At 42.2% G+C, this 22,644-nt stretch overlaps 1 protein-coding gene across 3 annotated transcripts in view, besides 2 other annotated features; it reads left to right on the top strand.

Annotated features, from left to right (window-relative positions):
• The window catches only part of MFHAS1 (multifunctional ROCO family signaling regulator 1), a 110,277-nt gene that overhangs the window by 21,753 nt on the left and 65,880 nt on the right, over positions 1–22,644 (top strand). Inside the window, exon 2 of one of the 3 annotated variants that reach the window (XM_011543852.4) lies at positions 5,038–5,601. The exons of the other annotated variants lie outside the window; for them this stretch is intronic. Within the exon in view, the coding sequence (XP_011542154.1) occupies positions 5,038–5,051 (14 nt within the window). The 3' untranslated portion in view covers positions 5,052–5,601. Of the gene's footprint in view, positions 1–5,037; positions 5,602–22,644 lie in introns of those variants that run through there. 3 annotated transcript variants of the gene reach the window in all.
• Positions 3,105–3,399: a silencer, noted in NCBI's record as "tiled region #1187; HepG2 Repressive non-DNase unmatched - State 15:Elon, and K562 Repressive non-DNase unmatched - State 23:Low". NCBI's record gives its function as "represses a minimal TATA promoter and a strong SV40 promoter by Sharpr-MPRA in HepG2 and K562 cells {active_cell/tissue: HepG2 | K562}" and the evidence as "EXISTENCE:reporter gene assay evidence [ECO:0000049][PMID:27701403]".
• Positions 11,243–11,452: an enhancer, noted in NCBI's record as "active region_26979". NCBI's record gives its function as "activates an Ori minimal core promoter by ATAC-STARR-seq in GM12878 lymphoblastoid cells {active_cell/tissue: GM12878}" and the evidence as "EXISTENCE:reporter gene assay evidence [ECO:0000049][PMID:35858748]".

The raw sequence follows: 22,644 nt of genomic DNA, 5'->3' as shown, positions 1-22,644 counted from the left end.
TATATTAAACCAGCATTAGAGAAAGAGGCCTTGCATCTTTTATCAGCAGTATGTTAACCTCTCCCAGGCACTTCTTGAATGCCATTCATACATCTGAGCCCATGCATCTGAGCCTTGGATGTAATTAAATCAGTGGATTAGGAAGTCGGGGGCCTGGACCTCTGGGAAGCCACTTGGCCTCCCTGGGCCTCAATTTCGTCTGTAAATAGGTAAAAATAATTCTAACAGTTCCCAAGCATTTACACCTGCTATCAGAGTCTCCTTAGATGTTGTGAGGGGGAAATGAATGAATAGATGTCAAGTCCCCAAGTAGTTTTTTCTTTGTTTGCGTGTTTGTGATCACTCTGTTGCCCAGGCTGGAGTGCAGTGGAGTGATCTTGGCTCACTGCAACCTCCACCTCCCTGGTTCAAATGATTCTTGTGCCTCATTGTCATGAGTAGCAGGGATTACAGGCATGTGCCACCATGCCCAGCTAATTTTTGTATTTTTAGTAGAAACTGGGTTTCACCAAGTTGGCGAGGGTGGTCTCAAACTCCCGACCTCAAGTGATCCAGCCCCCTCGGCCTCCCAGAGTGCTGGGATTACAGGTGTGAGCCATCACGCCCAGCTGCAAGTAGTTTTTACCATATAATAAGGGCTCAGTAAACATTAGCTCTGATTACCATCATCCTGGTTTACAGATGAGGAGTGGAGACAGAGGAGGGCTAAGTCATATGGCCAGGGGCACACAGCATGTAGCAGAGCCCAGGTTGTCCTCAGGAACCTATGGTCTTTGCTGTCACCCTGTGCTGCTTCTCAGGAAGGCAATAGCTTGTCACCCATTAAAAATGGGTAGTTATTTGAATGAAAAGCAGAATAACCCCCGGAGGCAGAGGTTGCAATGAGCTGAGATTGCACCATTGCACTCCAGCCTGGGCAACAGAGTGACGCTCCTGTCACCAAAAAAAGAAAAAAAGTAAGGACTCCTTGTGTGAAATGCACATGGTTGCTTTTAACATTGCAGTACTGGACTATAAACATTTGCTGGGGATTGGCAGTGACCAGCCATGGGGCAGAGCATGGGGCATGGGAGGGGAGCAAGGCCTTGACCCCGGGAAGCTGCAGTCCAGGGAAGCAGTGTGGACAGTAAGCAGAGATTTGCAGGGCTGTGTAATAAATTCCAGGAGAAAAAGATCTCCAGGGGCTCGGAGAGGCCTGCGGGATGGAATCTGTCTTGATCCACGTGTGTGTGTGTGGGGTGGTTAGATGGATGGGAGGTCTCCAGGGGAGGTGAGTCGTAGGGACTTTCTGTAAAACCAGGGCCCCTGACGTGTGATGGGCTGTACAAATTACTGGCAGCCCAACTATTCATTTATCAATGCACGTCTGTAAATATTTTTGTTTTCTTTTTAAACCTTTTTTGTTTTCCTGGGAGACAGAGTCTTGCTCTGTCATTTAGGCTGGAGTGAGGTGGCGCGATTTCAGCTTACCACAGCCTCAACTTCCTGGGCTCAAGCTATCCTTCCACTGCAGCCTCCCGAGTTAGCTGAGACTGTAGGTGCGTGCCACCATGTCTGGCTAATTTTTTTTTTTTTTTTTTTTTTTTTGTAGAGACAGGGTCTCACTATGTTGCCTAGGCTGGTCTTGAACTCCTGTGCTTAAGTGATCTGTGCATCTTGTCCTCCCGAAGTGCTGGGATTACAGGTTGAACCACTGTACATATCCCGTGTAAATAACTTTTAGCCTATCTATTCACTAGCTAACACTTTTTCACCAGAAGGAACTTCTGGCATCTGGGTGTTAAGCTAAATTAAAGCCTGATGGTTTTTTTCAGAGGGTGAGAGGAAAATACTGAAGGGTCAAATGGGGAAATGTCAAATTTCCATTTTGTCAGCACACTCAGGGCAGCAGTGTGGAAGATGGATTTCAATGGAGTAAGAATGGAGTCAGAGGGACCACTTAGAGGTAATTCAGACAATAATAAACAATAGAGGCCCCCAGGTAGGTCCTTGGGGATGAAGGCAATTGAGTCTTGGATGTTAATGAGGCAGAGTCCTGGGCCTCTCTCCTCCTAGCTCTGAGCTCTTGAACCTTCCCAGGCTCCGGTTTCCTCATCCATTAGACAGAAAGCATGACTGATTTAAGTGTATGTTTCAAGAAAAATTTTAACCACAGCGGGAAGAAGACTGCAGCATGTTTTAAAAAACAGAAAGCGGAAGTGATTTGATAAGATTAATTTCAACAGGACTGATGTGGAACGGCTGCTAGCTTAATTGGTTTATTAGGGTCGTGTAGCCACCCTCTTATGATGGATACCAGGTGAATTCCAGGAGATATATAGTCTTAGGTTTGTAAGCAGTGCCATTTGCAGAGGAATAAGGTTCTTTATTTCTTAAATTTGGAAGGGTCTCATAGAAATAAGAGACTTTATAAATATCTAGTAACCTGTCACCGCTTTAAAATACCGCAAAGATAAATGATGCTGATTGTCGCGTGCTTGGCATGATGAATTATGTATGTAGCGTGCCCCGGAGTTCTTTATGGTTGTGCATAACGAATCAGCTTTTGTTCTAGCTTATTTTCAGTGGTAGTGCTTGTAAAAGCAGAGGTCAAAGCAGATGCACTGAAGAGATGTGGTTGGTGCAGGATGATCGGGTTTTGCTATCCTGTTCTGTGCATTGCTTTTGTTTGTGCTTTGATTTTTCATTATCAACTTTGGGGAGGGTGGGAGAGCAGCCTTGTGGCATTAACAGCTGCATGATGGCACAGAGCAGGCAGCGACTCTTCTTGGTTCATGCACCTCAAAAGCGGCCCTCTTTTTGCCTTCCTCCTCCTCCTCTCTGCACCTGCTTTGCATAGCTGTTAACTACTTTTCCACCTAATAATAAAGGAAATTGAAATAAATGGTTAGGAACATGCCCATAATCTTTTTTCTCACTGACTTTCTCTAAACTCTAGACGAAACTAGAGAGGATTAAGAAATGTAAAACACAGCAGAGAATGTCTTTTTTTTCCTCTCCCTTTTTCTCTTCCCCTAGCAAAGATTTCTTTAGAATCTGAGTGAGATATCAGAGGTGCTGTTTGCATATGAAGTAGCGATGACTATGGGTGGAAGCCAGTTGTAAGGTTGCATAGTCATTTATAACTTCTTTCTATGTTAAGGTTACTACCGACTTTATGAGAGGAGCCTCCCAGACTCAGGTGTCATGCCTGACTCATGAGTAATTCATTAGAGAGGGCCCAAGCCATGTATTTCATTGTGGGTTTGTGAGCGGCCTCATCTTCCATAAGATGCTCATTTGTTGGGCTGATCCAAGGCAAAGATCCGAGTAGTTGGGAGTAGCTCCAAATTGGGATGAGCCCAGGCCTACTGTGCATATCTGTTTGGAAGGGCACATCTGTCTACCAAGGGCTGGTTCCAGTGTATTAGCCGAGTGGCACTAGGTAATCAGTTTACAGTCAGTTTAAAAAAGTTGAGGCTATCCTTCTCGGTGATTAATTATGGCTTTTAGTTCATACTAGATTAAAAAAAATCTTTGCATCTTTGCAAGAATAATCATTAACTTAGTTTGTCTATATTATTAGCCGAAAGATACAACACAGTGCTCATGCAGTGTAGAGAAATGAGATAACATCTAGAGTTTACATGTAAGTAGCTATTTGTCAGGATATTTATTCATTGATTCTAGATTCATAAAGCAGGAGTTTCCAGAGGCCTTGCAGCAAGGAATAAGCACCTGGGAGATTCAACTGAATCCCCCTCAGAGCCTGTGCGTTGGGAACTTGGTCTAGAAAATGGATCAGGTTTGTGCGCTATACCACTTATTATAATAAATGATAAAAGTCAGTCTGGACAGAGTGCCACAGAAGTTCAGGCGAGAAAGAGGATTCTTCCAACTGAGTGGGGCCATGGAAAAACTCGAGTTCCATTTATTAGCGGTAGGAAACACATGTTGAGAATGAAGAATGGAGTTAAACAATTGGTCTTTCCCTCAGATCCCAGGGTTTTTAACCTGTTACTAAAAAAGTATAGCAATTTATGGCCAGGCACGGTGGCTCACGCCTGTAATCCCAGCACTTTGGGAGGCCGAGGTGGGCCCATCACGAGGTCAGGAGATCGAGACAATCCTGCCTAACACGGTGAAACCCCGTCTCTAGTAAAAATACAAAAAATTAGCCGGGTGTGGTGGCGGGTGCCTGTAGTCCCAGCTACTTGGGAGGCTGAGGCAGGAGAATGGCATGAACCCGGGAGGCGGAGCTTTTGGTGAGCCGAGATTGCGCCACTGCACTCCAGCCTAGGAGACAGCGAGACTCCACCTCAAAAAAAAAAAAAAGTATAGCAATTTATAATGTTTGAATTATCATTAGCTTATTGGCGTGTAATAATACTTTGCATACTTTTAAAATTCTGGGGTTGGATTAATAATAAAAGAGTAGAAACATTGTTTTTATAAAAAAAATTTTCTGTGCGACACCTATAGGCAAGTACCTATGGGCCTCCTTTTAATTTTGGACTGTTTTAGGAATGTTTTATTTTATTTTTGGTATCTTAGGAACCATAAGAAGCATACTTTCAAAAATGTGAGGGTATATTTTTAACTTTTGTTATAAAAATGTAACAAAAAGTTTATATGGTGAAGAATTTAGTGGGTTTGCATATGCTGATGACCATTGTGACTTTCATAAAACCCCACAGCCTGTGTTTAATTCCATTTCCTACTAGTACAGACTTGAAGAGCTCAGTCCATCTCCTTTATTATCTTGTTTCCTTTAATCTATATTAATGCACCTTAGCAGTATCAGAAATTTTGTTAATATATTATGTGTAGCTGAACTGTAAGCTAAAAATAGATCATACCAACCCATCTCTCTTTCTCTTTCTTTTTTTTCCCACTGTCACCTTCACATTTATTCTTAGTGACTTGCAAATGATGGGATTACACCTTAAAAATTGTCTTGTATCAGATATGTATTTCCCCATTCTCTAAAGAAGGCTAATTATGCAAGTACACGGTTCTTTCCTGATTCATGAATTCATATCACGATTTTATTTTCAGATTCCTCAAGGTAATTGCTTGTTAGACTGGTTCACAGGATGAGAGATATCCAAGTAGTCATATGAACCGTTTCCGTCCCATTCATGCCATTCTGTCTTCTGCAGAAAATAAGTGAGTCAATCACTGTTTATGAGAATGTGTAAGAGACTGGGGAGAGAGAAGGGACTCAGTGGCCATTTTGTATCACGGATCCTTTTTACTAGGGATAAGAGTGATCCTTACTGGCTGACTGCAGTGGCTCATGCCTGTAATCCCAAAACTTTGAGAGGTTGAGGTGGGAGGATCGCTTGAGCCCAGGAGTTGAAGACCAGCCTGGGCAACATGGCAAAACCCCATTTCTACAAAAAATAAAAAATTAGCTGGGCGTGGTGGTGCATGCCTGTAGTTGCAGCCGTTGGGGAGGCTGAGGTGGGAGGATTGTTTGAGCCAGGGCGGCAGAGGCTACGGTGAGCTGAGATTACGCCACCGTACTCCAGCCTAGAGGACAGTAAGACCCTGTCTCAAAAAAGAAAAAAAAAAAAACAAAAAAGAAGTGATCCTTGCTAAGTTGCCATAGATCCCTGTTCTAGGTTCCCATTCAGCGTCAGAGTTTTATCGTCTGATAAAACAGGGATCAGTTAGAGAGCTTTTCGCAGGCAAAATGACACTGATTTTACTGAACCAATGGTAAAGAGAAGTGCTCCTAGGTTCCCAGGCCCTGTTCTTCTGTATTCTTCCTGCTTAGAAAAAGAGAATAATAAAAGCACTTCAGCTAGGAGTAGAGCTTTCTAAAAATTGGCCAGCCAAATCCCCAGGGAAACCAGGATTTCAGCTTCTCTGTCATCACCTCTGTTTGAGGTTGGCATGCTTTGGCACTTTTTCCGTGGCTGCACTGTCAGGAGAGTAGGCCAAGCCGCCTGAACAAGGAGAGGTGTGGAGGACAGTCATTCTGTAGCTGCAGTAATCCCTGCCCTAGTTTTTCTGCCTTCCTGAGAGAAATAATAGACACCACTTGTTTTACATCAACCAGGCTTCTGACCTTTTTGGACTATGAAAATTAAATTCTTCTAAGACACTAAGTGTTAAATTTGGGACCCAAAAATAGTTGGACTAAGTGGCTGCCTGGTTTAATAGTGGCAACTCAGTTCAGATAATAATTACTAGAAATTTCAAAGAAGTTATAGGAGCCTCACCTTGAGTAGACTAGGATTTGACAGTTGAGTGATATACAATTGTACTTAACAGCCATTTTCTAAAATGAAGTTTTCTGGACAGTAATTCATGTCAAGTGTCATCTGTTGCTTTTCTATGTGATTCCACTTCACCAGGGCTGTCCTGGGAGGGGTCCTTGGTTGTGTTTAGCTTTCATCGAGTTAGGGTAGTAACTCCTAGTCTCCTTCCTCTCCATCCTCTGTACCTTGTGTCTCTTTTCCCATTTCTGATTTTTGTATCCAGGAGTTTCTGATTTTTGCCTTTTGAGTTTTGTTTCTTAAACTAAGTGGAGCTAGGTTTTTATGGGGAAATAATTTCTCAGCCTGTCATCTTGACAGTGAAACATTTCTTTTTTTTTTTTTTTTTTTTTTTTGAGATGGAGTCTCACTCTGTCATCCAGGGTTGAGTGCAGTGGCACAATCTTGGCTTACTGCAACCTCCAGCTCCTGGGTTCGAGCGATTCTCCTGCCTCGGCCTCCTGAGTGACTGGGATTACAGGTGCATGCCACCGTGCCCAGCTAACTTTTTGTATTTTTAGTAGAAATGGGGTTTCACCATGTTGGCCAGGCTGGTCTTGAACTGCTGACCTCAAGTGATCCACCCACCTTGCCCTCCTCAAGTGCTGGGATTACCGGCATGAGCCACCAGACCTGGCCTGAAACATGTTTTTGGTTTGTTTTTTAATCTAGGTGGAAACTAGATACCCTTTCTAGTAACTAATATGTGGTTCATACCTAAAGCCAAAAGAAATCTCAAGTAATTTTTTGGATGAGACAATTTCGGCACCATGTTATATAACTTTATGATATCATCTTATCTGAGTCCTCTCTCTCTCCCTCTCTCCTTCCCTTTCCTTTTTTCCCTAGTGCCTGTAGGTGTGAGTTTAAAGATAAAATGACTGCCAAGTGACCCCAAGTTCAAGGACTTTTATCCTGGCATGCAACTGGAAAATTCAGTTTACATGATACATTTCAAAAGTGTCTGGTGGGTAGCTGGTACAAATGATAGGAAGAGAGTAGCTAATTTTATGCTCATTGTGGTTCTGTAAGATGATGTAAATATATGAGGATTTTAGGAGAAATAAAAAGTGATCTCACTGAAACAGTTATTTGTAGATTGCATTTTGACTTGTCTGAAACACATCAAGGTTAACATAAGAATATTTAGGATATGAATTTGGTCCAAGGAACATTAAAAATATTTTTACTTGGTGATTCTGATAGGAAGACATTGTTTCTACTAATGTGGGAGGGTGGGCAAAGAGGAGGAGGAGTCGGGCAGGGCCATTTTGTTGCTTGGTGTGAATGGCATCCTTGAATCGTGCAGTGGGCGGCCCTCATGGCCAGTAGCAGCAGATTTGGTTGAGCATAGGGGCAGAAAATGGCTTTGTTTTTTTAACTTACCCTTCTGTGTTTATGTTACCAGAACACCAGAGATTTGGTTTAGGTCCTGCTGCTTGCCGCACAGAAAGCCAATCACTGCTGAGACAAGTGTTGCCAGGGAAGAAGGCTTTAATCGGGTACTGCAGCCATGGAGATGGGAGCTCAGTCTCAAATCCATCTCCCTGACCAACTAAAATTGGGGGCTTATATAGTGGGAAGGCAATGTAACTACATGCCGGTAAACAGGAATTAGGAAGGTATAAGGAAGAGGAGTTGGTCAACAGGAAGCTGGTGGTCACTGAGGCAGCCATAATGGGTGAAGGGTCTGGTGTCTCCTTGTCCAAATGCAGTGATCTGGTGAGTTTCAGCTCCTTGATATCTGGGAGCCCTGATGGTTGGTTTTCTGAGAAAGGAATTCAGATAAAACAAATGCAACTTTCTTAAGTTTTAAGACAGGGTGGGTCAATTTCTAAGCTCATTAGAAACTGCATATTAATAGATTAGTTCTGTGAGATGATGGGGTGGGTTTCAGTTACAGGTAAGGGCCAGACTCTTAGTGAAAACAGGCCATGGTCTGGGTTAAGGACCAGTATGTTAGGGAAATGATTCTCTGAGGAAGTCCAAATAGGTAGGAATCAGATGGTCAAAACAGAGGTTAGAAACATTTTAATGATATGGTCTGGAAAAATCTAAGGACTAGAGACCACGGGTGCAAGGGGTTATGGCCAGTGGAACAAGAAAAGATCATACGTGGTAATAAATATAGGTAACAGTCCATTCTGGATGAGGTCAACTGGGCAGGAATTCTTTATGCTCCATCTAGGCAGGAAATACATGGAGGCCTTTGAAGTCCCACTGGCATGTGTGCAAGGAGCCACTGTTAATTTACACAGGAAAAAGGAATGGAGGGAGTAACAGCATCAGTTTGAGGTCCTGTGATATATCCATTGGGGGTGAATTGTCCCACAGTTATTAAATTATTTAAAAATCAGTACTGTATTCTAAGTTACACTGCCTGATTTCAGTGCTTACTTTCCGGCTATAGTAATTAAGACAGTGTAGTATTGGCGTAAGTATAAACAGATAGATTGATGGAACAGAATAGACCCACACATACATGCCCAATTGATTATGGACAAAGGTACAAATATAATTCAGTGAGGAAAGAATATTTTCAAGTGGTGCCAAAACAATCAGATAATTGTATTAATAAAAATGAACCTTGAGTCATTCCTTGTACTATATACACAAATTAACTTGAAATGGGTAATCGATCTAAATGTAAGTGCTAAAAATATACAGTCTTACCAAGGAAGCATAGGAGAAACTCTTAGTGACCTTCAGACGGGCAAAGATTTTTACTGTTAAATAGACTATGTTTTAGAGAAGTTTTAGGTTCACAGCAAAATTGCACAGAAGGCATGAGATTGCCCATCTGTTCCCTGTCCCCACACATGCGCAGCCTCCTCCATTAGTAGCATCCCCAACCACAGTGGGACTGGTTACAATCGATGAACCTACATTGACACAACATTGTCACACGAAGTCCAGTAGTTCACACTAGGTAGGGTTCACTCTTAGTGTTCTATGAGTTTGGACAAATGTGTAATTAGATGTATCCACCGTTATAGTATCATACGGAAGAGTTTTACTGCCCTAAAATTCCTCTGAGCTCTGCCTGTTCATCACCTCCACCCCCTAACAGCAGACATTTTTTCTTTTTAGCATAGAAACTAAATAATTTTTTAGTTTAAGAAATTTTTTTAACTTAATCTAAATTTAAAACTTTGGGTCTTCAAAAGATCTGTTAAGATGAAGAGACAATCTATAGTCTAGGAGAAAATATTTGAAAAATATATATCTGATTAAAAAAAAAAAACCTCTTATAGCTGAGACAACCCAGTTAAACATGAGTAACATATTTTGAATAGAGATTTTCCAAAATATGATACATGAATAGCAGGTAAGTATAAGATGTCAACATCATTAATCATTAGAGAAATGTAAATTAAACCACTAGGAGATACTAGTGCATGTTCCCTAGAGTGGCTAAGATGAAAAAGACTGACCATACCAAATGTTGACGAGGAGCTGTGACAACTGGAGCTTTCCTACGCTGCTCTTGGGAGTGGAAAATGATACAGCATTTGGGGAAACAGTTTGCTAGTTTCATATAAAGTTAAACACATGTTTACTAGCTAACTCAGCAATTTCATTCTGAGTTAATTCACCCAAGGGAAATGAAAATACATTTTAAAAAGATACACAAATGTTCATAACAGCTTTTTCCACAATTGCCACATACTGGAAACAACTTGTCTGGTGCACAGATAAACACATTGTGGTATGCGACATAGCAAGGAAAAGAGATGAACTACTGATAAAGCGACATGGATGACTCTCAAAAGCATTATGCTGAGTGAAAGAAGCCAGTCGAGTACATATTGTATGACTCCATTTATATGAAGTTCTAGAAAAGGCAAAACTGATACACTGTCAGAAAGCAGGTCTGGGGCCGGTGGTATGGGGAAGGGATTTACTGCAGAGGGGTACAAGAGAACCTTTTTGTGGTGACGGGAATATTCTACCTCATGACTGTAGTGGAGGTTACGAGACTATATCTGTCAAAATGCATCAAGTTCTACGTTTAAAATTGGTGAATTTTATTACACGTAAAATGCCTTTATTATATCTTGTTAATTTAAAAAATAAGTTTTGATTATACGATTTCCTTAGATGTCCTGAAACATGCTGTTTTCACACTAATTTGGTATATACCTTGTGATTATATCCTTTGTATATGAATATTGTGGTAAGTGGAACATTGTTGTTGGAGATATATCCAGATTTTCTACCTTAGTTTGTGTGATTGATTATATTCTGTTAGACTGAACCACATGAAATTGTTGATATCCAATCATTCTTGACCTACAAAAGCAGCAATTTCACGTGGCATAAGTATAGTAGAAATTTTGTTTGCTTTTTAATTCATTGGAAAGACTTGGCAATGGTCACATCTCGATTGTGAAGTTTCAAGGATTTTGTAAGACACAAGGCCTGAGTGTTCTGTTTTACATTACATGTTTTATTTTGCTTTAATTCAGTTCGGTAGATGTTTTATATATGTCTACCACTTTTCAGGCATTCTACTTGAAATTACAGTGGATGAATGTAAAGATGAGTTTGATATTACCTCAGCCCAAGAAACGTTAAGTGATGAAATTAAAAGGCACGTGTAGACTTTCTGTCATAATCGCTAATAGGGACTGTGAAATAGAACTCCCAGTTCTTGTCATGTCCATTGCAGTGATTATAATAAGGTATTTGGGCTTTCATAGTGATGAAATAAGTGGTTGTGGGTTTGTATACGTATGTATACATAAATATGTATGCGTATGAGCCCAGAAGAAATGGAAACGAGACCAATGATTTAATTTGCATGAAAATTAGAACTGTCTGCCAAGAGCAAACATCTCTCTCACCCTTTTTCAAGAGAAAAAAAGGTCTTGTAGTTTGGCATGACTCAGTGGATGACCTCACACTGATTCTCCTTTAGTTATTGCTTGAATGCGTGGAGCCCTCAGTCCTAAGTGAGGCGGTCTGGGTGATGTTATGGCATTTCATTTGGGAAAGCGGCTGTCACTTCATCCTTAAGCCTCCTGTTTGCTGTGATGGTGGCAGAGCCACTCTCAGCACCACAGGAAGAGCCCCGGGGAATTCCTGAAGACACATTCTAGAGAATCCGGTACAAGTGTATGTAGGTTGGTCACCTTGATGCCTTATTTTCTCAGGCTTCTAGTAGAGATGCATGCCAGCAAAATGGAAAGGAACAGAGGGCGTTCTTGAAGTTTCCTAACTGGCGTATTTTCTCCTTCTCTTTTTCTAATAATTAAGTACAGGGGACTGAGAAGGCAGGGGTTGTTGTTATTTTTACATGGAATGGACCTAACCTAGCAGTCAGATGAGATTGTTGACGCGTAGCACAGTCTGTTATCTTTGGGCATCTGCCACCAAAGAGAGTGTACCCAAGAAGGGCTGTCGTGTGAGTGGGATGGGTTTCCATCTTTTGTTCTGTGCTCTTTCTGTGGAATCTCAGGCCTGCGTGTGCTCCCTCTGACCGTACCTTGACTCTTGATGAAGGATTTGCAGCCCTGAGAGGGAGCAGGCAGACCCAAATTAATTATTTCCATTTTTTTTGTGGCACTGTGGGACAATGGGAGAGAATACAGGCTTTGGAGCCAGCCAAATGTGTTTCAGATCCTAAATCCTCCACCTAAGGTATGCAGTCCTGATGGGTAAGTTATTTTAATTTGTTTGAACTGCCACTTAACTGAAAATGGGATTAATACCAGATATCACTTAAAATTAGTAAAAAATACAGTTGACCCTTGAACAATGCAGGCATTGGGGGCACCGACCCCCCATTCAGTTGAACATCTAACTTTTGACTTTGCAGAATTTAACTACTAATAGCCTACTGTTGACTGGAAGTCTTACTGATAGCATTAACAGTCAATAGCACATATTTTGTACATTATAGATATTAGATACTATATTCTTACAATATAGTAAACTAGAGCAAAGAAAATGTTACTGAGAAAACCGTAAGGAAGAGGAAATATATTTACTGTTCCTTAAATGGAAGTAAATCATCGGTGAAGGTCTTCATCCTTGTCATGTTAAAATTGAGTAGACTGAGGAGGAGGAAGAAGAGGAGGGGTTGGTCTTGCTGTCTCAGGCATGGTAGGGGTGGAAGAAAACTGTCATATAAGTAGACCAGCACAGTTCACACCCGTGTTGTTAAACGATCAACTGTATTTTATTAAGCTGTCTTTGAATAGCACCAAGTATCTTAGTGTATGAGAAGGCCTCTGAGAAGTTCCACAGTTAGGAAACATGGTGAACTTTTTTTTTTGGTGTGAGGGGCACAGAGTCTTGCTCTGTCACCCAGGCTAGAGTGCAGTGGTGTGATCTTGGCTCACTACAACTTCCACCTCCTGGGTTCAAGTGATTCTCCTGCCTCAGCCTCCCAGGTGGCTGGGACTACAGGCGTGTGCCACTACACCCATGTAATTTTTGTAGAGACGGGGTTTCGCCATGTTGGCCAGGCTGGTCTCGAACTCCTGACCTCAAGTGATCCTTGCATCTCAGCCTCCCAAAGTTTTGGGATTACAGGCATGAGCCATCACTACCAGCCGTGGTGAGCTTTGTTTAACCAAGCATTTTTCAAACTTATTGACTGAAGAATCTTTATGTGTGTGTGTATGTGTGTGCATATGTAAGAAGTAACATCCGCTGGAGCTGGTATTGTGCAGAAAATATGTTGAGAAATATAAAACAGATATCTGGCTTGTGTTCCTCTATATAGTCTTTTTTGACTGAGAATGCTTTATCCTTGTTGTTACGGATATTTTCACTTTGTTTATTTCTATTTTGGTCTGAATCATGAGTGTAGTTGATCCTTGAACAACATAGATTTGAACTGCTTGGGTCCACCTCGACGCCACCTGTGCATACGGAGGGCTGGCTCATCTCATATGCAGGTCCCGAGGGCCAACTTCAGGACTTTATGCATAGATTTTGGTGTGCTGGGGATGGGGGCCCTAGAACCCAACCCCCCATATATATACCGAGGGAGGACTGTCTATTTTTGTTTTTTACCTGTGAGGCCATCGCCACAATGAAGAGAGTATCCCCCAAAAGGCATATTTTTAATATAGTTGTAATTATAGCATTGCATAATCGTTTTCAGTAACATAGGTCTCATCTGTTGCTCTAGGTCTTAGTAAAATAAATCACTCTTGTTGAACCCTTCCTAGGCTCCAAAACTGGATGGGCCATTTAATATAATTTTAAATATTAAATTTAAATTTTCTTTCATTTATTAGAATTTTCAAAGGGTAATAATGTTATATATTTAGATTTTGATGACATGGAGACATCTGAGACTTGCTTAGTTTTAAAAAAGCAAAATTTATGTCATACAGCTCTTGTAAGGACTGAATAAAATAATGCATATAAAAATGCCTAAGACAATGCTTGGCATGTAGTGGGCACTTACTAAACAATTTCCTTCCTTCCCTTGCTGGCTTCTTAACTACTCCCTGCCTTGTATACCCCCTGTGCTCCGTCCCAATTTCTGTTCAGATACTAGACAGATGGCTGTTGCTTTGGGATAGGTCAAAGGCTGTCAGGCGTGGAGGCAGGCAAATGACCCAGATCAGTGAACACCAGTCATTGTCTCAGAGCATTTTGTTTTGTTCAGCTCAGCTATTTGAATCATCTTGGATTTTCTCATTTGTTTAGAAAAAGGTTTCCCCAAAATTGGTGGTGTTGGGTTCCTGATAGCAAAATGTATCAACAAGTGGGCAGTCAGCATATGGAATTTGCCCAACTCTACAGGGAAACTTGCTTTAGGTATTTTAAAAGTTAACTTGTCAATGTCACTGTAGGACAGTTATATATCTACTGAGTTTACAAACAAAAGATTTTTTTTTGTTTTTTTTTTGAGACGGAGTCTTGCTCTGTTGCCCAGGCTAGAGTGCCTTGGTGCGATCTTGGCTCACTGCAACCTCTGCCTCCCGGGTTCAAGCGATTCTCCTGCCTTAGCCTCCTGAGTAGCTGAGACTACAGGCACCCGCCACCATGCCTGGCTAATTTTTATATATTTTTTGGTAGAGACGGGGTTTCACAATATTGGCCAGGCTGGTCTCGAGCTCCTGACCTTGTGATCCACCTGCCTGGGACTCCCAAAGTGCTGGGATTACAGGCGTTAGACACCGCGCCGGGCCTGAACTCATTTTTAATTAGAATTCTTATTATTTCAGTGGCTGAATGGAGGAAAAAAGAAAGGACCTAAGCCCAGAAAATTCACAGGTTTGTTTCAGGGTAGAAAAATTTGGCATATTTTGGCCTGGAAGATATCTCATTATGGAATCAGAAATCTGAAAGGGATATTAAATTAGGAGCAAACTTGTGCTGTGTTGGTTAACCACTGAAAGTTGCATTGGCAGTTTAGTAACTAAACAATAGGGCCACACGCGGAATTTATTGATGTCTCATGAACTTTCTGTTTAAATCTTTATTGCTTTGAATTGATAGGCTTCTTTTTTCCCTTCCACTTTGCTTAAGGGACTGAATCTGTTTTTGGCATTCTAAGACTCTTTTTAGAATTTGGCAGTGCCTCTCTAGGATGTTTTCTTCTGCACTGCCTCCAAAACAAAATTATGAACAGCCTGGCTCTTTCGGTATCTCTCCTCTTTTTTTTTTTTTTTTTTTTTTTTTTTTCACTTTCCTGATGTGAAAGTGTCAGGTTTTGAGCCAGTTTGAAAGATGAGAACTAGAATATATTTCTCTTTCTGATCTAGAGAATCCTAGTGGCTTCTAGGGCAGTGTATAAACAAAGCCCTGTGGCTGCAAGGTTTCCCGTGTGCAGCAATAAACTGATACATGCCGGTGACAGGAATCTGGCTCATGGGCTTGAAACCATCCATTAACTCATTAATTGACCAGACATCATGGGGGTCTGCTGAGTGCCATGGGGATGCTCTGTGCTGGGAAAGATGCAAAGATGAATAGGCTAGGAATAAAAGACCAATTTCATTTTTTAATGTGTCAGTATTTTTAATATTGAAATGTAGGACCTTGCAAGTAAAATACTATTAAGCTAATTTCCCAATTTAGAGTCTTTGAATTATTGTCTTGGATATTAAATATATTCAGTGTTTCCCACCAGTGGATCCCAAAGCCTCACCTGATATGTTTGGCAATTGTCAGGCCCTCTTTTTTATACTCCAGAGGAATTCCAACAGGAAATATGTACACACCATCCCTTACCTCCCTTGCTTCTTTTCTTTTCTGCGTCCTACTTTGTTTGATCTTGAAATACGGGGAAGTATCTTCTGGGCAAGTGCTGTTTCTGTGCCAGGCTGTGCAGGTCATGCTTGCCCCAGTGCCATGAGAAAGACACTCGAGTGAGCTCGGGACAGATCTCTCCAGCACTGTCCTGGCTTGACCCCACCTGACCAGTGACTCTTGTACCATGCCCAGCTCCTTTGGCTGCTGGAGCAAAAAGATCTAGGGAGTTTGTTTTCCAAATAAGGGCCCCAGATCTTACTTTCAGAGCTGTGCATGTGAGGAGTTCATGGGGAATCCCTCATCTCAGCAGACATGGGGAAGACCGTCTTCTAAACTGTAGTTCTGAAACAGGTAAACATTCAGTCCCCGCTCGCTTTCAAAGCACAAAAGTGAGGAGGCTTATTTGGCATTGAAATAACTGAGCATCTTTTCTCATCTGTGTTTCTGAATCTGTTATGGCCAGTGTTTTATAACCCCCTTCACATTACCTTGTCAGTAACTTGCTTCAGATGAAAATAACGGCAGAAAGCATAATTTTTTGTTTTTTTCTTTTTTGAGACGGCGTCTCACTCTGTTGCCGAAGCTGGAGTGCAGTGGCGTGATCTCGGCTCACTGCAACCTCAGCCTCCCAGGTTCAAGTGCTTCTCCTGTCTCAGCCTCCCAAGTAGCTGGGATTACAGGTGCCTGCCACCATGCCTGGCTAAATTTTGTATTTTTAGTAGAGAGTAGGTTTTGCCATGTTGGCCAGGCTGGTCTTGAACTTCTGACCTCAAGTAATCCACCCGCCTCGGCCTACCAAAGCGCCAGGATTACAGGTGTGAGCCACCGTGCCTGGCTGAAAACACTGTAGCGAGTTCATGAATCAGGATTAAAGAATCTGTGGGATATATAGAATGATAGAATAAATTCTATAACGTTCATTTTCATTGTGCAGGATGGAGACATTAGTGTGCATCTCAGTTAGGATTTAATTGCTCCTTCCCTGTGTTCTTGAAAGCGCTTGGAAAGCGCCTCCAATCCTCCATTGTATGATTCTAGTTCAGGTCTGGCTCTTTCACCAGACAATGAGCTCCTGTGGTAAGATGCCATGTCTTAATTCATCTGTTTTCCGCTTGTCCTAATACAATGTTAAGATTGCCAGATAAAATACAGGATGTCGGCTGAGTGTGGTGGCTCACGCCTGTGATCCCAGCACTTTGGGAGGCCGAGGCGGGTGGATCCCCTGAGCCCAGGAGTTCGAGACCAGCCTGGGCGACATGGCGAGACCTCTCTCAACAAGAAATAAAAAATAATTTTGGTATGCTGGGGGTGGGGGCCCTAGAACCAAACCCCCCATATATACTGAGGGAGGACCACGACTGTGGTCCCAGCTTCTTGACAGGCTGAGATGGGAGAATCACTTGAGCCCAGGAGATGGAGGCTGCAGTGAGCTGTGATAGTATCACTGCACTCCAGCGTGGGGTATAGAGTGAGATCCTGTATCAAAAACAAAGAAACAAACAAACAAAACCCCAAAAACCCAAAACCAAAAAAACAGGATAGCCAGTTAAATTTGAATTTCAGATAAACAATAAAGTGTTGCTTATGGGTGGGTCTCATGTATACATCTATTCTTACATCTGAATTTCACGTAAGCAACGAATAATTTTTAGTGTAAATATGTTCCATGTGATGTTCTGATTTAGTCATAATACATATTTTTTTCTTTCTTCCTTTTTTTTTTTTTGAGACAAAGTCCCCCTCTGTCATCCAGGCTGGAGTGCAGTGGTGCAATCTTGGCTCACTGCAACCTCCACCTCCAAGGTTCAAGCAATTCTCATACCTCGGCCTCCTGAGTTGCTGGGACTAGAGGCATGCACCACCTCACCTGGCTAATTTTTTTTTTTTTTTGAGACAGAGTCTCGCTCTGTTGCCCAGGCTGGAGTGCAGTGGTGCGATCTCAGCTCACTGCAAGTACGGCCTCCCGGGTTCACTCCATTATCCTGCCTCAGCCTCCGGAGTAGCTGGGACTGTAGGCGCCCACCACCAAGCCTGGCTGATTTTTTGTATTTTTAGTAGAGACGGGGTTTCACTGTGTTAGCCAGGATGGTCTTGATCTCCTGACCTCTTCTTGACCTCCCAAAGTGCTGGGATTACAGGCGTGAGCCACTGCACCTGGCCTAATTTTTATGTTTTTAGTAGACACGGGGTTTCACCATGTTGGCCAGGCTGGTCTTGAACTCCTGACCTCAAGTCATCCTGCCACCTTGGCCTCCTAGAGTGCTGGGATTACAGCTGTGAGCCACCACACCCAGCGTATATTTTTGTTTTGTAAATTGGGCAACCTTATACAATGCCCATGACTTACAAAGGATTTTTTGCTCCTAAATCAGTGTAATTTAATAATGTGAACACAACTAAGACAAATCAAGGTGTTCATGGAGTTGGTTGGTGTCTTTTATGGAATGCAACATGGGAATTGGAAATAGTAATTATCCACCTTCACCAGTGTGTTAGTGAGTATGGACCATTTAACCTACAACAGTTGGATAACCTTGACAATAGAAATAGGTAGCTAAGCCAGGGGTGGTGGCTCCTAGTACTTTGGGAGGCCGAAGTAGGGGGATCACTTGAGGTCAGGAGTTCGAGACTAGCCTGCCCAACATAGTGAAACCCTGTCTCTACTAAAAACACAAAATTTGCCAGGAGTGGTGGCGCATAGCTGTAATCTCAGCTACTCAGGAGGCTGAGACAGGAGAATCGCTTGAACCCTGGAGGCGGAGTTTGCAGTGAGCTGAGATTGCGCCATTGCACTCCAGCCTGGGCGACAGAACAAGACTCCATCTCAAATATATATACGTAGCTAGGACCTGACCTAATGGTTGTACCCACACTGTTTGCCTTGTACGTGCCAGGCACTAGCAATCTAAGTTGTGTGTGGTTTTTTTTTTTTTTTTTTTTTTTTAAGAATGAGCAGACACCTTGTGCGATTGTCCAGGTTAACTAACAAAAATAGTTGTCTGGGTTTATGGAACTGTAATTACGAGTCAGATCCTGGTTCCCTTCCGCTTTCTCTGCTATTTCTGGTTGCTCCTTTTTATTCCCAAAAGGTAGAAAGGGGCAGGTAGGACAGGAGCTTGCCGCCTGTTGAACTAGAGGGAGTAGCTTCCGAGCAAACTGTGACAAAATGGGGTATTTTAAGCCTCCATTTTTTTTGGGGGGTATGTGAGTGTGTGTGTGAGTCGGTGTATATGTACACAGTGCAAGTAAATAAGCCTGAGTGGGTGGCAAGAGCCTTGTTTGTGTAGTAGGAGAAATGGAGCCTGCAGGGGCATAGTCGGGGTCTTGAGAGCAGACACACGGACTGAGCCAGGCAGTTGCTGCTGAGAACAGAATCAGGACCTCCTGCTTCCTTTGGGTGATATTGGGTTTTTTAGGCCACCTTCCCAGCCACAAAGTAGGACTCTGAAATACATCCGGGTATAAATGTTCTTATGGAAATGCAATCACTTCTGACTTTAAGTATGTAGAAGTGAGGGCTCATACCCTTCTCCCAGAATGTAAATTTGACTCATCGGGGCTAACAACAATGATAGCCTAATATAAGAAACTGTTTACCGGACTCTGTTCTGATGTCAGCCAAGCTAGAGCTTTGCATGGTGGGATGCTTTCTCTTGGCTGTGCCCTATTAGGGAAGGCAAAAATAGAAAGCTTTTTCTCTGGACTTCAGAACGGAATTAATGCATGGTTATTAAAAGCATCAATGGCAAATGGCCATGGAAGTCAGAATCTCAGCCTTAATGAAGGGCGATGGTGTCCACAGAACCAATTATTTTGCAAAGAAATAAAATAATAAAATCCTCCCATTGGTTTTAGAGTGGCTGAAACCAGCAGGCACCAGGTCTAAACCCTCTTGTGGGTGTGTGTGTTTGTGTGTATGTGTGTGTGTGTGTGTGTGTGTTTGAGAGAGGGTCTCGCTTTGTTGCTTACGCTGGAGTGGCGTGATCTCAGTTCACTGCAGCCTCCGCCTCCCAGGTTCAAGCGATTCTCTTGCCTCAGCCTCCCAAGTAGCTGGGATTACAGGTGCATGCCACCACACCCAGCTAATTTTTGTATTTTTAGTAGAGATGAGGTTTCACCATGTTGCACAGGCTGGTCTCGAATTCCTGACCTCAAGTGATCTGCCCGCCTCGGCTTCCCAAATGTGATTACAGGTGTGAGTCACCGCACCTGGACATTGTGGTATGTTTTAAGTACTCACGCTAATGACATTTATACCTTGCTTGGCACTCCTGAAACCTCAGCTCTCTGGAGGACAGAATATCTGCTAAGGGTGCGACTCCCATGGTGCTGGAGAGGGGTCTCCTTCGAATGGAAGCCGGCATTCCACCACCCACTCCCTATGTATCCAAAACTGGGCTTGGCATCGCTGTTCCTGAGGGAGCGCTCTGTCCTTATTAGGGATCCGCCTGGTGACCTCAGATTTACACTTAAGCTTCAACTTTGTTGAGGGAAAACATTTTTTCTCTGTCACCAAGAGAATGGAGAACACTGTGATCGCTTTTCAAGTCTCACCTGCCAGGAAATCTTTATTTTGCGGGGGGCATCACAACTTCCTCTTTTTCCATGTACCTTAGTTTACTATTACTTTAAGTGTTTTGGTTGGATTAACTTCCTGTATTTGTTCTTATTTTAAATACATTCTTTAGTTAAAGTGTTACTCAGTGAATGGAAAGAGAAAAACAAGGCAAGAGGAAGGGGTATAATATGAAAGAATAGAGTTTTGTTTCCAGTTTTGTTTTGCAACAGTAGATAAGAACTGTAAACTTTCTAGTCCCTGGTTTTTTAATAGTATATGGAAACACGATTTTGTTGTACTACATGGTAGGATGAATTTAATTAAGCTGCCAAGCAAACTTGTTGATTTAGATAACAACTCCACACGTAGAGTTTGAAGAGCCTGTTTTGTGGTATCTAGACCTCACTTTTAAGAGTATTTCCCTGAACCTGTCCATGCATTTCTGAGACGTTTGTGTGCTGACTGTTTGTTTTATGTTTGTGCAAAGCCTAGTGTCCTACTGACTTGTAGGGACTCATTGAAATGGCAGAAACTGTGTGCATTTTAAGTGCTGGAGGAATGCTAAATATTAATATTTGGGATCAACCACAAAATATAGTTTCTATTTATAAGACACCCAAGACTAAATAAACTGTAGGACAAATGAAGTGTGCACATTCTTTTTGGTAACATTCAGCATCCTGAAAACCACCAAGGGTTAGGAAAAAGAGAAAAATGTATTTTTCATCTTCTGTAATTCATCTAGCCTTGGGATTTTCTCCTAACCTCTTGAGGCACGCTTATATACGTGACCCTATGTAAGACTTTTGGGTGATAAAGTCGAGGAGATTCACTAAGGAGGAACAGAGCAGGTGTAGTGCCCAGGGTGGTAAAACCACAGATGGAGCTATGGGGTGAATATGGAACCTGCTAGCTGGAGATGGGGAAAGAGAAGAGATCGCTGAGATTACGTGAGTGTTGAAGGGTTAGATGAATTGGTGTGTAGCGGGTGCTGACCTGATCTTTCTGGGTGTTCTGATTTTTTTTTTTTTTTTTTTTTTTGAGACGGAGTTTCACTCCTGTTGCCCAGGCACGATCGCCACTCACTGTAACCTTCGCCTCCTGGATTCAAGCGATTCTCCTGCTTCAGCCTCCTGATTATAGGTGTGCGCCACCAAGCGAGGCTAATTTTGGGGTTTTTAGTAGAGACAGGGTTTTGCCATGTTGGCCAGGCTGGTCTCCTGACCTTAGTGATCCACCTGGCTTGGCCTCCCAAAGTGCTGAAATTACAGGCGTGAGCTACCGCACCCGACCCTGGGTGTTCTGATTTTATATTTACTAATAAACTCTGTGGCTTTGGACATTTCAGAGGCTCTGGTTCTATCTCCTAATCTTTAAAATGAGAAGCTGGATGAAATGATCTCTAAAGTCTGTTCCAATTTAAAAATTCTGTCGTTTGCTAGGAAAATATTAGCACCACAGTCTATCTCTCTAATATGGGAAGTTTTTTCAGATTGGGTATCAGTGCTATTAAACATTTAATAAAAAGTGGGAAATTATTAGTGTGTATTGTCACAGACATGTTAAGCTATTTGCATTTTAATGAATGAAAGAGAACTTTAACTGTTAACATTTACCAAGGGGTGTAGCTGAGAGTTAATAGTTTACAAGGGGTGTAGGTGAGAGTTAATGGTTTATAAATGTTAACTAGTTTAATAGCTGTTAGTTGCCTCGGGATTTAAAGGTATACACACTGATTTTTGGTTTTGGTAGCCTCAAACCTAGTCAAGAATCATACAAAATTATCTTCATTAGAACAAGCATAGTATTAGCCATCAGTGCTATGTAAGGTAAAGATTTCAAACTCTCTCTGAGGCTTCATTAAATTCCTTTGCTTTCCTGAAAGTTTCTACCATCCTGAGAAAGTCTAGCAGCTTCTTCAGAGACCTGGTTGCTTTCTGTCTCAGAATATTTAAAGGAAAGTACATTTTCTTAAAATGGAGTTTTCCCTGGGTCATACCAGGCAATTAGGGCTTTGAGCCATGAACCGTCTTCAGGATTTGGTTCCCTCTGAGAGAAAGGGAAAGGAGATAACTTTTGCCCTTGCTAGAAAGTAAAGCTTATCTACCCTTACCTGTTTGAAGTTTAGACAAATAGTTTATTTATACAAAAGCATAGTTTCCCTTGACCACAATGAAGTGTCCACTTGGACTGCTCATTTCTTGACCAGGAGACACAAAATGCATTTTCAGCCCAGGGGAGGCTCTTTGGGGCCACAGTTGGACTGAACAGGACCGCAGCTGTGAAGGTCTAATTTGCAACTGGCAAATATCTTTATAATAACCCCACGTTTCTTACTGACACAGAATACACACACGTGTAAGTGCACACACATTATGCACATGTGGGGTGGTGAAGGCAGAAAATCAGTGAACTGAAATTACTTGCTGCAAGTATTACTTTCTGCAAGGCTTTCAGAATTACTTGCTACAAGGCTGGGTGCGGTGGCTCACACTTGTAATCCCAGCACTTCAGGAGGCTGAGGCAGGCAGGCCACTTGAGGCCAGGAGTTCAAGAGCAGCCTGAACAACATGGCAAAACCCTGTCTCTATTAAAAATACAAAAATTAGCTGGGCATGG

The sequence above is a fragment of the Homo sapiens genome, chromosome 8, assembly GCF_000001405.40.
Source record: "Homo sapiens chromosome 8, GRCh38.p14 Primary Assembly".
In the NCBI taxonomy this organism is placed as follows: Eukaryota; Metazoa; Chordata; class Mammalia; order Primates; family Hominidae; genus Homo; species Homo sapiens.
Note: the sequence above shows the minus strand (reverse complement) of the source record. Positions and strands in the feature narration are given on the sequence as shown.